General features: G+C 52.3%; 1 protein-coding gene across 48 annotated transcripts in view, besides 2 other annotated features; it reads right to left on the bottom strand.

The window, feature by feature from the left end:
• The window catches only part of JAKMIP3 (Janus kinase and microtubule interacting protein 3), a 148,495-nt gene that overhangs the window by 49,999 nt on the left and 82,270 nt on the right, over nt 1-16,226 (bottom strand). For 27 of the 48 annotated variants that reach the window (NM_001392043.1, XM_011539676.3, XM_047425106.1 and 24 more), the window contains one exon: nt 1,333-1,548. The exons of the other annotated variants lie outside the window; for them this stretch is intronic. In NM_001392043.1, the coding sequence (NP_001378972.1) occupies nt 1,333-1,548 (216 nt within the window). The remainder of the gene's footprint in view (nt 1-1,332; nt 1,549-16,226) is intronic. 48 annotated transcript variants of the gene reach the window in all.
• Nucleotides 13,358-14,195: an enhancer, noted in NCBI's record as "H3K4me1 hESC enhancer chr10:133934169-133935006 (GRCh37/hg19 assembly coordinates)". NCBI's record gives its function as "activates a minimal SCP1, AML or CMV promoter by ChIP-STARR-seq in primed H9 embryonic stem cells {active_cell/tissue: H9 hESC(primed)}" and the evidence as "EXISTENCE:reporter gene assay evidence [ECO:0000049][PMID:30033119]".
• Nucleotides 14,196-15,034: an enhancer, noted in NCBI's record as "H3K4me1 hESC enhancer chr10:133933330-133934168 (GRCh37/hg19 assembly coordinates)". NCBI's record gives its function as "activates a minimal SCP1, AML or CMV promoter by ChIP-STARR-seq in naive H9 embryonic stem cells {active_cell/tissue: H9 hESC(naive)}" and the evidence as "EXISTENCE:reporter gene assay evidence [ECO:0000049][PMID:30033119]".

Genomic DNA, 16,226 nt, shown 5'->3' with positions numbered 1-16,226 from the left:
CGCAACCGCGTGAGGCAACAGAACCGACGGGCAGAGCGAGACCCTACCTCACACACAACTATTTTAAAATAACATAAAGTAAAATAATGAAAAGGAGCAGACATGTCTAGAAGTATGCAGATGGAGAGGGCGGGGGCGTGCAAATGCAGAAACCGCGAGTGTGGGTGATGCCAGGAGGACGTCTGCCAGCTCCCAGCCCTCTGCCTGGCCCCTGCCGCTGCCCCTTCAGGAGGGTGCGCGCCCCCTGCCCCACGGGGCGGCATTTCTCTGGTACGATGACATGAGCACGGGAAAGACACTTGTGGGAGACTTCCAAAAGAGGTGACCTGCCTCCAATGGGGCTTCTAAAGAGCCGCTTTTGGGACCCCTGGGACTTCACTCAAAAATTGGTGAAAACATTTGAATCCGGTTTCAGATCTCTCTGGAGTGAATGCTGTAGTCTACCACGCACCAGCAGGAGGGGCTGGATCTCATTCAATGAAGCTGTCTGAATGAGATCTTAAAATAATATTTTCTATTCTTGAAATGTCACTGTCCTAGGACCGGCTCAGCTCACACACAGTTTTATCCTCAAAGCGAACAAGCAGCATCCAGGATGGTCCTGGGCCCGACTCGAGTTCCTCATTCAACAGGTGCAGGAGAGGCTCGGGGTCAAAGACCCAGAAGGACCAGCTGGAGGGTCCCTGGACTTCAGATCCCCCAGCGCATCCCAGAACCACGACAGAGGATATGAGTGCGGAGCGGCAGCAAGGAAGCGGGTGGAGCTCAGCCCGGGGTGGTCGGCAGACCCCACACGACAGAGCGGCCCAGGGAGGAGCGCAGAGTGGCATGATCACATGAGAAGCGGGTGGGAGGGTGACTGGTGATGAGAGTGCCGGAAATCACCCTTGAGGGGCCAGCTGGGCACGCGGTGGGCAGGGAGCCGGTGCACCAGCCTTCCCGGGCCAGAGGCAGAGGCCGTGTGCTTGGAGATGGTGGCAGCGCATACCCAGCACAGCCTCCTCCCACCAACCCAGGGCCGGACTCCGGGCCAGCAAGTGCCATGAACTGCAGCAGAAGGGTGATGAGGCCGGGGCCCACGGGAGGGTGACAGGGCCAGAGCTGATGCTATGTAGACAGAAAGGAAGGAGACGAGTCCACCAGCCCTCTGGACCAGAGCCAGAGGAGCTGAGCACCTAGGGCCAGGCTGGGTGGGGAGGTGCCCAGGCAGGAGGGTGCTGCCTCAACTCGGGCTCTGGTCTCCTGGGGGAGTGGCCCATGCAGGGCCATGCAGCCACATGGCCAGGTCTGTCTGTGACACGGGGTGGGCCGGTGGGCCTGGGAGGTGCTTACAGGGCTTCCCGAGTGGTCTGAAGCGTCTCCTGCACCAGCTGCATGAGGAAGTTCCCGTCTGGGGCTGCCCGGGTGCCGGTCGGCCTCTCGGACCTGGGACAGCTGCTCATCTAGAGCCTCTTTTTGGAGCTGCAGTCTCTGAGCATGCCCGGCTTGAACCCCTAACTCTCTCTCCAGCACGAAGACTGCTCTGTCTTTAAATTTTATCTCCTCCATCTACAAGGAGAACAGAACACAATCACACAGGCGGCAGGACACGGATCTGCAGTTACCATAGAAACGGGCGCAGCCCTGCCAGGCTCTGGGCTCTGAGACCGGAAGCAAAAGCGAAGCATCCTGGACTAAGAGCAGGAGCCCGTGGCCCTGGGCTGAGGCACGACACCCGGGCTCCCAGCAGGCCCTGGCTCAGCCGGCTACGCAGAGCTGCTGCCAGCGGGAGACTCCTTCCTGACGGTCCCCGGGCTCTGTGTGCTCAGCAAGGCACCCCATTCCGTGCTGTCCTGCCGGGGCCCTGGGTGCACACAGGGGTGGTACTTTCTAGCAGGGTCAGCAGAAACCACCTCCAGCTCCTGACTCTGCTGTAGGTTGGACAGAGAGGAGGACACCCAAGTTACCCACACTCTGCCAATAGGAAGGTGCCACGGCCAAGTTTCTTCCCTAAACAGGCAGGGGAGACCATGGGGAACAGAAATTCTGGCCTGAAAGCCAGTGCTACCCCTTCCCCAGCCCAGGCCCACTCCCCAGGGGAGGGCTGTGCAACGTAGGGGCACCACTGTGGTCCTTGGACACCGCCCCTCCATGCTTCTGGGCATGGCTACAAAGCTGGGGCCCCGCACAGCTGTCTTCAGGCAGAGCCACACTGCTCATTAATCTGGCTGCGAGCCAAGGCTTTTGGGGTGAGACGGCAGCCCAGGGGTGTGCAGGATGTCTGCCCCACCAGTGGCTGTGAGAGGTCGGCGGCCCTCCCCACCCTCCCTACAACGTGGCGCTTTGTGCTCAACCTATGAAGGGAAGAAGTCCTTCCTTCCGGGGATATGGCAGCCGCTGCCTGCAAGTACCCCGCCCCGCTTCCGGGCAGGAATGTGCCAGCCAGAACGCGGGCACAGCAGACCCGACAGCCCCCGCTCTTCAGACAGACACGCTCGGCACTTTGGGCATCATTTTCCACGGCACTAGATTTATGAAAAGACAAGGTCTTTGGGGATGAACAACTCAGTTTGAAATATATTTTCAAACAACAGAGCAGAATGGGATATCTTGCTGCTTTACCCATTGTTTGAGGTTTAAACAAGCTAATAAATCTGCTATTGCTGAAATTAGCTTGGAAACAAAGAAATGAGATGTCTAATTAGCCTGGATGGAGCAAGTGATGAGCTGAACAGAAGAAAATAAATCCTTAATTGCTAAATCCCCATTTTCTCTGCACACAGCAATGCTGAAAGAGGCAACACAGTCAGTTAGCAGGAATGGGGCCGGTGAAATAAGAGCGTGTCCATCAGCAGCTGTGCCTGCGGCCTGGCATTTACACTCTCAGACTCAAACAAGATTTTCTTTTATCAGGAGCCCCCACCTTGCTCACGGTGGGCTGTTTCCAGCAGCAGGCAGGGCAGGATTCGGGGGCTTCCCATGCCTGTGCAGGCGCCGCACCCCACCCTGCACTTCTTCCCATGGGGCTGTGGGTGGGGGGCGGCACACCTGTCTCCTGTCCCACCTGCACCCACACAGACACCCGGGGGAAGAGCCCTCCCAGCGGGTTCCGGACTGAGAGGGCTCCCAGGACACGGGACGTTCAAAGCTGAAACAGGCGTCCTGGTGCACCAGGCTGCAAGCATCACCCCACTGCCAGCATCTTCCACTGGGACGAATGCTATGGCTTCCAAACGGCCGCCCTGTGTCCTCTCCTGTGCCTACCCAAGCTGCTCCACTCACAACCCTAGAGTCAGCTCCACAAACAAGAGTCAGAGGCTGTCATAAAACATCCTACCCCGGCACTAAGAACAGGATCCACAACACTTGCTGGAGCCCCCGGGTGCCCCAGAGCTCCCATCTCCCCGGGCCCGACACCCTCACCCCTTAGGTACCCTGTCTCTCAGGCCCCCATACCCTCACCCCATAAGCTCCCATCTCCCCTGGGCCTCACACCTGCACCCCAGAGCTCCCATCTCCCACACCCTCACTCGTTAAGTCCTGTGTCTCTCAAGCCCCCACACACTCACCCCATAAGCTCCTATCTCCCCAGCCCCCCACACCCTTACCTCATAAGCTCCCATCTCCCTGCCCCCCGACTCTTCCCCATACTCTTCATCCCCTGAACTCCCGTCTCCCCACAACGCCCCCATACTCCCTCACCCCATGAGCTCCCTCTGTTGCCTTCCCCACCCACCAGGACCTCCTCACTCCCAGCTGCAGAGGATGCCTGGAAACTGGAGAGAAGCCCCTTGAGACGGTACTCTCCAGGACAGGGGGTGTGCAGGCCGACGCTGAGGCTGGAGGAGAGAAGATGCCCCTCCACTCTGCCCGCCCCCGACTTGCCTGCCCCCAAGCATGCCCCGCACAGTGTCTCTCTGCATGGGGCCCCGACATGCAGCATCACAGCCACCTGTGACGGCTGTCCATAGGCAGAACCCTGAGCCCCCCAAGATGAGCATGTAGAACCTCTAGGGTGGAGCCTGGGAAGCTGCATTTCATAAGCCTCCCTGCTGTGAAGCCCACGGACATGATCTCACCACTGCCCCACAGTGCTGAGGCCCCTGCACACATGCGTCTCGCCACAGCCATGAAGCATGCTCACTACACAGGCCACGTCATCACCCCCAGCATGGTCACTGGCAGCTGTGGCTGCTCCCAACCTGGGCTGACCACGCCTCAGTGCCACAGACAGGTGACTGCCTAAGGTGTTGGCAGAGTACCTGCAACCCCCGAGCAGGTCTCCTGACCCAGGGCCCATGGAGCCAGGATCCTTCCAAACACTGGGCCTGTGCAGGGAGCCCTCACGTCTGGCAGGCGTCACTCACACCACCTCTTCCTCCAGAGGAGTCTGCACCTCAGGGGGGCCCTCCCTCCGCATCAACTCTTGGTTCTGTGGGTGGTGACGTGAGCACACGAATGCGCCTTGTGAGACAGAAAAGGCTGCTGCTCCCAGCGGATGTGCTAGAGATAAGGAGATGTGCTTTGTCCTAGCTGGGGCTTGTTTTCCTAGCACAGAGGGTCTTAATGAGAGAAGGAAGGACCTCCATCACCCAGCTCCCAAGAGCTTAGAATGGGTGGGGGAGATGGGAAAAAAATACACAGATGAGATACAGAGCCTGGTCCTATTATTCCCTGTGAGAAAGCAGAGACCTGGGTGGGGGTGCGTTGGAGGTGCTAGAAGAGGCCGCCAAGCCTCCCTCAGCCTCTGGTGGGGTAGGAGAGCTTGTATGATGAGGGGGAAATGTGACATTTTAGGAGCCCAAGCCCCTTGATGTCCCAGAGACACCAGGACTTACTGCATGTCTGGGAATTAACCCTTGGGAATTTTTCTCTAGACAGAATGTCCAGGTCCCCCTCAATCATGGGATAATCTGCCAATACCATGAGAAGGTGGTTCCCAAGCTTGGTGGTCTCGTGCTGGAATCACCTAAGCAGCTTTCTGAAGGAAAAAAAAAAAAAAAAAGGTACTGATGCCCAGAAACTTCTGGTTCCAGACGTGATGGGGTAGTTGGCATTAGACTTACCCTTCTGCGATGAACAAGTCTAGAAGCTGAACAAGATACACAACGCAGGGGCAGGAGAAGGAGAAAAGGAAAGCAGTGCCTGTCAGCACAGGGCCCCGGACACACAGCGTCACAGCCCCTGCGACCGCTGTCCACAGGCAGATCCCTGAGCCTGTAGATCAGTGCCTCTCATCACGGGGCCCCGCCTCCCCTAACGTTTTCCCTGAGGGCGTTCTTGCAACCTCTCTCCTGGGAAACAGAGCCCGAGCTGCAGAGGCCTCTTCTGTTGCAGGACACTAAGATCAGAATTTGGTTGGGGCTGCCACAGCAGCTGGGATTTGGAGAGCAGAGGAGGGAATGGCAGAAAAGGAATGCCAAAGATCTGACTAAGGATTCCCTCAGGTCCCTGGTCCACTGCTAAGCTGTACGTGTGCAAGGCAGGACTCCCAGAGGCCTTGCAGGAAACAGTTCCTGAGAGTCCGAATGGTAAGTAGAAATGTAAGTGGCTGCACATGGCTGTCGAGACACTGCAATTCAAGCCCAGACAGAATAGAAGATCATAGTGAATTCTCTAGACCCTGGCTACACTCCAGGGGCAGGACAATGTCCTAGGATTTTAAAACTTCATATTAAGAGAAAACTAACAGACCTTCCCTAACAAAGCCTGAAACCACACCTCAAAAGGATCCAGGTAGTCTGCTGGTCAGTACTTGTCTGCTTGAACAAAACTCAACATTCTCTAGACAACAATAACATAATGCGCAGCCTCACAACACATCACCCACAGTGCCAAGAATATAATGAAAATCATTAGACACGTGAAGAAGCAGGGAAAAATAACCAATAACGAAGCTAAGTCTGTGGCAGCACATCAACAGATGACTAGAGTTAGCCAACAAGAACTTAAAAAATAATTGTGATTGATAGAAACAGACCCAGAGATGATGAGGATATTGAAGTAAGCCGATAGGAACTTTTTAAATCATTGTAATTAACTCACTAAAAATAATGTAATTAAAACTTTATATTTTTCTAATAGAGATAGAAAATGAATAAAATGCAGTAATTCAAATGAGAATTAGGATCTATTTTAAAAAAGAAGTAGGCACTCAAATCCTACATACAAGGTCTAAAATTAGAAATTCATTACAAAGGTTTAAAAGCAGACTGGACACAGTAAAATCACAAACCCAAGATAAAATGATAGAAAATATCCAATCAAAGCACAAAAGGAAAAAATAGAAAAATAAAACAGAATAGAGCTCAAGAAAAATGTAAGGTATAGTCAAAGTGTCTAACATACATGTTATTGGAATCCCAGAAAGAGAAAGGAGGAGAAGTAATATTTGACTAAATAATGGTCCAGAATTTTCCATATCTGGTAAAAGACATCCCTTCAGATTCAAGAAGCTCAGCTGTCTCCAAGCAGTATTTTTTTAAAATTACAAAAACACACCTAGACACATCATACTGAAACTGATGAAAACCAGAGTTAAAGAGAATATCTTAAAAGTAGACAGGAAAAAAGACACATTGCCTGAAGGAACAATTCTAAGAGTGATGGCTGGCTTTTCAACGGAAACTAACAAAATCAGAGGACACTGGCAGGACATCTCTTGAGTGTTAAGAAAAACGCCTGACAATGTGAGAGTTCCAGGTTCAATGAATACATCCTTGGAAATGAAGGCAAGTCAAGATGTCCTTAGACAAAAGTAGAGAGCGTCCTTTGTTAATACACCCACAATGCAAATAATTCTAAAGGGAATCTTTCAGGCCGAAGGGAAAAGACTGCAGATAAGAAATTGTAAAGATATAAATATAAAAGACCATTGGCTGCTTATGGGAACAGCAAAAGCCATTTCTTTGGGGGCTTATGATATGTGTCAAAGTAAAATATATGACAATCATAGGAGAAGTGGGTAAATGGAGTTGACCTATTGCCTTATAAGGTACTTGTATTTTGGTTATACGGCAAAATTACTAATTTATGATAGAATGTAGTTAAGGATACATATTAATATTTCTCTGTAACTACTAATGGAATAACACTAAATGTTGACAAAAAAGGAGATAATCCCATACAATGATTGGATAACCCCATGGGATAACCCCATCCAAGGCAAGGAGTAGAGAGAGGCAAGACGAGGGAGGGAGGGAAAAAAAAGGAACAGGGGGATGAGAGTAAAAAACAGCGAGAGAAGAACACAAATTCTCAGCATCAGCAATGAAACAGGAGACAGTGAATGGATAACAAGAAGCTCCGATGAAAAGTCTAGCAAGCAGTGAGGTGCCATGGCTCACGCCTGTAATCCCAGCACTTTGGAAGGCTGAGGCGGGTGGATCAACTGAGGTCAGGAGTTCGAGACCAGCCTGGCCAACATGGTGAAACCCCGTCTCTACTAAAACACACACACACGCACACACACACACACACACACACACAAAATTAGCCAGGCATGGTGGCGCACACCTGTAATCCCAGCTACTTGGGAGGCTGAGGCAGGAGAATCGCTTGAACCCAGGAGGCAGAGTTGCAGTGAACCAAGATGGCACCATTGCACTCTAGCCTGGGCAACAGAGTGAGAAACCATCTCGAAAAAAAAAAAAAAAAGAAAAGTCTAATGTCAATAAGTGGGAAGATGTGTATTAACTGAATATACTCCTTGAAGAATCTATTTTACCAAACTTAACATAAAAATAAACATAAAATCTGAACTTTATATTTATTAAATACATTTAATTCATAATTTAAAAATATATCACAAAACTCCTGACCCAAATAGCTTCACTGGTGAATTTTCCAAACACTTAAGGAAGAAATATACTTACGTTGAACAAACTCATTGAGAGAATAGAAAAAGGAGAATAGTTCCAAAATCATTTTATGAGGCCAGCCAAATCTAGATACCATAACTTGGCAAGGACATTATAAAAAGTGGGAAAAAATCCTAAATCCAGTGTATACTTATATATAAAATAGACAATATATCATGGCCCAGTAAAATTTATTCCAAAAATACAATGCTTATTTTATACTTAAAAGCCAATTAACGTGTCATCTCATCAACAGAATAAAGAAAAAAACACATGATCATTTTGATTTATGCATAAAAAGCATTTGACAGAATTCCATAACCATTCATGAAAAAAATGCTTAGCAAAGTAGGAATACGAGGGAATTTTCTTAATCTGATGAAGAGTATTGCTGGCTGGACACAGTGGCTCACACCTGTAATCACAGTACTTTAGGAGAGTGCAATGGCTCACACCTGTAATCACAGTACTTTGGGAGGATCAGTTGAGCCAGGAGTTCACGACCAGCCTGGGCAACAAAGCGAGACCCTGTCTCTACAACAAATTTAAAACTTAGCCAGGTACGGCAGCATGTGCCTGTAGTCCCAGCTACTCAGGAGGCTGAGGTAGGAGGATCACTTGAGCCTGGGAGGTCAAGGCTGCAGTTAGCTGTGATCTTACCACTGCACTCCAGCCTGGGTGACAGAGCGAGACCGTGTCCAGGAAAAAAAAAAAAAAAAGTATTGCCAAAAAACCCACCAAAAACAAAACCAAAACCAACCAACCAACCTGCAGCTAACATCACAGTCGGTGAAATGAATATTTGATACTTTCACCTGCAGCTGGGAATTAGGACAGGAGGTGGTCACTCTCAACACTTCTCTGTTCAAAGTTACACTGCAGGCCTTCACAGTGCATTAAGGCAAAGGAGAAAACAAAAGGTATGAGCTTGGAAAGGAAGACTTAAACTGTCTTCGGGATGAGGTATGGTGGCTCACTCCTGTCATCCCAGCACTTTGGGACGTGAGGCGGGAGGACTGCGTGAGCCCATGAGTTTACGGCTGCAGTGAGATACGATCATGAGAACTTATCTCTCAAAAAACAACCCCCAAAACTGTCTTTGTTCACATACAACATTATGTACATGGAAAATATTTTTGAAATATACAAACAAGCTGTTAGAATTAATAAGTGAATTTAGCAAGGCTGCAGGTTAGAAGATCGATATAAAAATCAATTGTATTTCTGTATAGCAGCGAAAAATAATTGGAAAGTAATATTTTAAAATGTGAAAAGCAGACCATTTATAATAGCATGAAACGTTAAATATTTAGGAATAATTATAATAATGATATGTAAGACCTCTACACTGAAATTTACAAAACATGGCTGAGAGAAGAGAAAAATCTAACAGTAAATACACCAGGTTCATTAAGGTTCAAGGTGCCAGTTTTTCTGTGGAAACTGACAAGCTGATTTAAGTTTCATACAGAAAAGCGGTAACAATCTTGAAGAAGGGAAAGAAGGAAGTTGTAGAACTTAGACGACGAGATGTCAGGATGTGCTTTAGAGTGTCGGAACTAAGACGTGGTACTAACGCCGCAAGGCGGAGCACCAGACCAGCAGAACGTAACGGGGCCTGGAAAGAGACCCGCGTCTGTGGGCTCACTTGATGCACGACCAAAGTGCTATCGCAGTTCAGGGGGAAAGGACGGTCATTTCAAAAAACAGTCCTGAAATAGTTGGATATCCACACAGCAAGCAGGGATATCCAACTCAATCCATCCCAAACCACTCACAAAAACCGAACTCGGACGAATTATAGAATTAAATGTTAAGAGAAAAACAATAAGGCATCTGAGCGACACAGAGGGGGCAACTTCACGCCCTCGGAGGGGCAGAGGATGTCCAAACCGGACACACACAGCACACAAAAGAAACCGACAAATCGGGCTTCCTTAAAATGCCAAACTTCTTTCATCTAAAGCCAGCATGAGGAAGACAACTGGGTCAGCCACAAACTGAGAGAAGCCATCAACGGGGAGAAGGTGAATACTCTGGCTTAATGGCAGGGAAGACATGAGCAGGTGTTTTATGAAAGGTGACATGCAGATGGGCAGTGGAACGGCCAGCCTCTTTCTTGCCGCTGTCCTAAAGAAATGGCAATACTGTCACTGATGAGGATGTAGAACGAGAGGGGGCTCTGCCCACCAGCCGAATGGCTCTTCTGTCTTGAGGTGAAGCAGCTGCCCGACCTACCACACTGCGATTCCCCTCGTCGCCCCATGAACGCACAAGAGAAAGGCATGCACGCGGCCACCCAGGATGTGATAGGTGCTCGTATGATGGCCAAGTGTGGGACATGACTCAAATGCCTCTCACAGAAGGACGGGTGACCGCGTGGCAATGGACATGTGTAGCACAGCTGGCTGGCTCGGCTGTGATGTGCCGGGGTGGGACAGGTGACCATGTGGCAACGGACGTGTGCGATGCGGCTGGCCAGCTCAGCTGTGATGTGCCGGGGTGGGATGGGTGACCGCGTGGCAATGGATGTGTGTGGCAATGGACGTGTATGGCGCGGCCCACCGGCTCGGCGGTGATGTGCCAGGGTGGGACAGGTGACTGCATGGCAATGGATGTGTGCGGTGTGGCCGGCCGACTCAGTTGTGATGTGCCGGGGTGGGACGTGTGATCACGTGGCAATGGACGTGTATGGCGCGGCCGGCTGGTTCAGCTGTGATGTGCCAGGGTGGGACGGGCGACCGCGTGGCAATGGATGTAGGTGATGTGGCCGGCTCGGCTGTGACGCACCGGGGCGGGCAAAGCAGCAGCAGAAGGACGGGTGCTGCCGGGAGGGGCAATCCTGCTGGGCCCCCACCCCAGTGCTGGGTCATGGTGGACACACAGCCTCAGATCATCACACATTTCTTCCGGATTTGAGCCCATTCTCTGTAGACGTTTCCTCAACATCCACAAAATGGAAAGAAAAGCGAACCCTGATGCCAGGCGTTACCCTCTGGAAATTCTGGGTTAGTTCGGCTGTGGGCACAGCCACGCCCTGGGACTCTAAAGGCTCTCAATATTCCCAAACTCGTCCCCAGCAGGTGTCTCTGGACATCCACAGCCAGGACCGTGGGCAGCTACTCAAGGGTGGGCCTTACCTCAGGGACCCCCTCATCATTTGCAAGGCAAGCACCTGTACGGTGAGGCTTTGGCCCCAGAAGCCGATGCTGCATCTGGCTGTGGGTGGCTGGAAGTCACAATTCAGGGTCTTCAGCAAAACCAAAGCATCATGTGGGAGCCAGGCTTGGGGTGCAAAGGAAGCTGCTGCTGCTGCACTCAGCAATGCCATTTTTGAAGACACACTCATGCCCAGACTCTGAGCGACGCCATCAGAGAGCAAGGGCCTGGCACAAGCTCTCGGTCACTTACCTGACACCCGTCTCCAGGCAAAAAGCAAGGACAGGCTACTCCTCCTACCCCTACCCCCAAAATAGCACTTGGGGAGAAACTGACCTCATTTTTATAGCCATATTTGAATGGGGTTTTAATTACTGCTGTATATTAGCATTCCACTTTAACTAGCTGTCTAGACAACTGGGGGAGGAGGAACCAATATTAGAAATCACAGATCTTTACGGGAAGGAGAAACTGGCTTTTGCGTCTAATTCTTTGGATTTAGAGAGTCTTTAACAACGTCTGAACTTGTATTTTAGCAAACGCGCTGAGCGTGCATGCAGTAGCTGCGTGCACCCAGACGGCTCTCTCAGGCTCTGTGATGACATGGCACAGATCTGCCACGCAGCTGCTTCTGGGGCCCCAGCTCGGCCCTGTCCTCAGAGCCTGTCACCATCCAGATGCACGGACAGGATGGGGCACTGGTCATCGCACCTGTGGGTGGAAAGTGCCTCGCCCCTTCCACGTCTGACTTTAGCAGAAATTTGGCCAAGAAAGCCGCTGGGAGCCCAGCTTCTCCAGGAGCACAGAGTGGGCCATGCGCAGACGAGGATTTGGCTCCGGAGCCTTCCGAGGCTCCAGGTTCCTCTGCTGTAAAATCAAGGGGTCTGCACAGTGGAATCACTGGGGCCTGAAGATGATGGGCCCTGGGCCAGTGGGTGATTCCTGAGTTCCCTAGCCAAGGCATTCTGACACGTACAGGGCAAAGCAGCAGCTCTAACCCCAGTGCCACCCACCACAACCTTCTGGGCAGGGAGAGGGCGTCCCTGACCCACTGGATAACCCAGCTTCTCCAGCAGCCCAGCCCTGAGTGCAGCCTTGCAGCCCTGCTGTGCCCAGCCCTGCCCTGGCAGCAGCGACCGTGCTTGTCTGGGGTGTCTGTTGGCTCCCACATCCCCACCCTGCAGGCCTCTCCTGTCTTCCCTCCATCTGGCTTCCTCTCTGAGACCCTGAGCCCTCACCAGGTGCCACACTTCCAGGCCTGCACTTAGGGTCCCAGGACAAGACAGAGGGCTTGCCTGTTAAAGCCTCCATGCTCTGAGAGCAGGTGTGGCCCTGCCCGGCTGGGCTTCTGCCCCTGCCCAGTCCCTGCCCTGCTGTGTGGCCCCTCCAGTCTCTCCCCATCCAGGGCTAACTGAGGTGCCCAGTGGGCTCCTGAGATGGCAACAGCCTCCCGTTGGCACCCAGGAGCCTCGGCCCAGAAGACCCACAGTCAGGCTGGTGTCTGGGCCAAGGCTGGGGTGCTGGGGCAGGTGGCAGTCAGGGCCCCGACAGCCGGGGAGCCGACCGGGGGGCAGTCAGGGCCCCAACAGCCGGGGAGCCGACCGGGGGGCAGTCAGGGCCCCAACAGCCGGGGAGCCGACCGGGGGGCAGTCAGGGCCCCGACAGCCGGGGAGCCGACCAGGGGGGCTGGGGAGGCCTCTGACTCTGGGCCTTTGCGGGGACAGGGGTGCTGTGCTCTTTACCAATGGGCCACCTCTTGTTGAAATCCATTCAACAAAAATTTATTGAACACCTACCGTAGGTGCTGGGGACTGAGTAGTGAACAAAACAGACCCAAAGTAAAGACAGGAGGCTTTGCTGGCCAGAGTTAGGGAGGCAGAACCTTGAATCACGGGGTCCATTTTGGGAAGAGAAGATGATGGTTCTGAGTGTGTGCTGAACACCCAGGACTCCCTCAGACCCTCCCCCTCCTTCACCAGCCCTGCCAGACGCGACTGTCCTCAGGGTGGACCTTGGTGGGACAGGTTCCACCCCATAGAAGCAGCGCCCTCAGAGAGCACATCCTTGCTGGGGTTGTGGCCATGCGTGTGGCGCTAAGTAGCAAGGGAGGCACGGAAACCCCCAGCTCCCACAGTGTCCCAGTCAGGCCAGCCTCGTCCACAGTGCTCTATCCCCAGGCCTGCCCGTCCCCAGACTCAGATACCACCCTCCCAGGGCCACGGCAATGTGCCCACACCTGGGGGTGGAGGCCATCATGGGACAGCTCTCGAGGGAGCAATGTCTGACCGTGAGCAAAGATCGATTCCTCCCAGAGGCTGGCGCTCCCTGCAGCAGAGACCCATCCCTGACCCGCTACGTCCTCACCCAGGGCCCGGTGAGGCCGAGCGTCCCACACCAGAATGTTCTAGGACTCAGGTGCCGGCCCGTGCTATGGCCACAGAAACAGCAAAATGTTTGCCTGATGTAAGGAACCAAGGTTATGTGATATTTTCAGCTGTAATAGTAGCTGTCTCTCGTTGGGAGAACCCGAGGCCTCCGTCGCCCACCTAGCCTTGCTGGAGCCCCATGAGCTGGGTTGGCGGCTGTCCTGGAACCTGGGAATGATGTTCCTCCCGCCTGCAGCTCCTGCCAGGCCCGGGAGGCCACTGTCCTGCCCTGGGCTTAAAGGTCCAGCAGCACCCCCAGCTCTACTGACTCTGCTGACACTTGGGGCAGGGCCCTGCCTCTGGACCCCACCCTCACCCCAGCCTGCCTCTTCTCTGACTGCCCCCAGTCCCCTGTCCCCAGTCCACCTTCCTCCCACTTTTCTGTCCCAGCCCTGTTCCGAGTCCCTCTCTGAGCAGCTTCCATCCCAGACTTCCCCATCCTCATGAAGCTGCCTCTCATGCCCAGGCTGGACACCACGCTGTGCCGCTGCCCCCGCAGCTCGAGCGGCCACACACCTGCCTGGCTCTCCCAGCCCCTCCACCTCACGCGTAGATTTAACTCCAGACACTCCCTCACAGCTGGGCCTGGGGAGCAGCCCTGTCCGTCACCACGGGATTTTAGAGGCCGGGGTGTTCTCTCATAAATGACGGCCTTAAAAGAGAAGATCTGAGGTCCTGGGACCCTTGTCAGTTAGGCAAGGGGGCCCCATTGGGACAGGGTCCCCAGGAAGAAAGGGTCCCGGTGGCTGGATTCCTGATGCCACCAGAAGCTCCATCACCACAGCTGACACCCTCAGGGCACCTCTCACCACAGCTGATGCCCTCAGGGCACCTCTTGTGATATGGGCATGGAGCCAAGTACTCCCTGGGTTTTTCATTATTTTATTTAAATTGCACAAAACCAGGATATAGACAGATAGATAGCTGGGCTCTGGGAATGGGGCTGAGGGTGAACTGATGGGAGCTGTGTCCCTGATGAGGCCTGGGCAGCTGTGGTCAGGGGTGGAGGAAGGAAGTGCATCCCAGCAGCTGTGCGGACTGAGCTGGGCTCCAGCAGCCACCCCTGGGGGAAGGGGCGAGTCACACCGCGGATGGGATGTGAGCCCCCAGCCAATCCCTCCCCCGCAGGACCCAAGCAGACCCAGAGTTCCTGGATGTTGGTGGTGGGGCAGGGGCTCTCACGGGCAACACTGGTCTTCCCACTGACAGGGGTTTAAGCATCGAAACAGTAAATAAAGGAGATGTCCCAAATCTATGGATTCTGTAGGAAAAGATCATGTAAGACTTTGAAATAGGCAAGAGAAGATTTCTGACTGTCCTTGTATTGGAATGCCAGAGGCCCTGGGGACGACCTGACCCTGGGAGGCCTGTGCCTTTGTCTCTGACTAGGCTATTCTACGACTCCATGGAAAGAAAAGTTAAACTTGGAGAAGAGCGTGAGCAAAGTGTGCATTTCCTGGGCACAGGTGGACATGATTCCTGCTCACGGGAATGCAAATGGGTTTTGTCAGGCAGGAAACGTGAATCTCTGTGGGCCAAATCCTCATTTGAATTGGTTGTAACATCTTGTTTCCTCATCAATTAATGAGTTAATAAAATCTTTGACGTGTTCATTGTAGAGTTTGTATGACAGTCATGATTATACCCTCTGCTAAAATTTACCCTTGAACAGTTTGGTTAAAAACCCAAAATTCCAACAGTTCTTTTTAATTTACAGCAAAGATGATTCTGAAATGTATATGGAATTCTAGAGGGCCAAGAAGAGGCAGGTTACTCTTTAAGGTGAACAAAGCAGGAGAACGTGCTACTCCAGAAATGAAGCCTTTTTATAAAGCTAGAATAATTACTACAAAGTAGGGCGGAGGAGGGACTGACAATGAGACACCAGAAAGTCCACTCTTGTAAGAACAGGTGCAATCTGGCAGAGAGGAGCTGTGAGAAAGGGGGAGACGGTTTTTGAAGTAAGGGCTGCTACAGACATAAGTATGCAAGACGAAACTATAACATTTTTAAAAGATGAAGATTCCTGACTCTGGGATCGAAAGATTTCCTAAACAAGACAAAGTGAGTACCAATCCTAAAGGGAAAGATAAGCAAATTAGACTGTTTTACTTTGAAATTTAAGACCTTAGATCATAACACGATGCTGTTGAGCACAGGAAAAGATAACCCACAGAACGGGGAACACACCTGCACTTCGGTGTAAGTTTTAGGACCAGCTTGCCCGTAGCTGCAAAAAAAAAGCCTGTACGGAGGGGAGAGATCTGGCGAGGATGGAGAGTGAAGACACAGGTTGGAGCATGCTTTTGAAAATTTGAAATAAAATCCAGAAGAATCAGCCAGAGGAACTGTGAATAGCTGCCTCTGGGGGTTCAGATCGGGGGTGAGAGGGGATGGCAGGGAACTGCTGGTTTCTGTTACGAGCCTTTACTTAAGAAAAAAGCTGCCTTCCTCTACTGAGAGCATCGAATCCAACCAAGACAAATGAAAGGGTCGTGTGGCACTGGGCAGAGGCAGCCACCTGTCCCTCCCACCTTCCCGGGACAGTGGCAACGCTTCCTTCCTTCCCCGCACAGAAAAGCAAGCATCGTGTCACGCGAAGAAAGCACCCGGTTCTTATGAGTGCTGGTTTGGGCCGGGTCCTTGGGTTGCTAAGGTGACATCGATATGTGGCTTGGGACAGGGCGAAGAGGTGTAGGGGAGGTTGGAACAGGGACCACTTTGGAAAGGAAGGGAATCACCCGGGTTAGGCACGTTTGGGGGCACCCACGTGTACACTGTGGCGAGGTCATATTTACTCCAC

Source organism: Homo sapiens, chromosome 10 (assembly GCF_000001405.40).
Source record: "Homo sapiens chromosome 10, GRCh38.p14 Primary Assembly".
NCBI classification, from domain to species: domain Eukaryota; kingdom Metazoa; phylum Chordata; class Mammalia; order Primates; family Hominidae; genus Homo; species Homo sapiens.
Note: the sequence above shows the minus strand (reverse complement) of the source record. Positions and strands in the feature narration are given on the sequence as shown.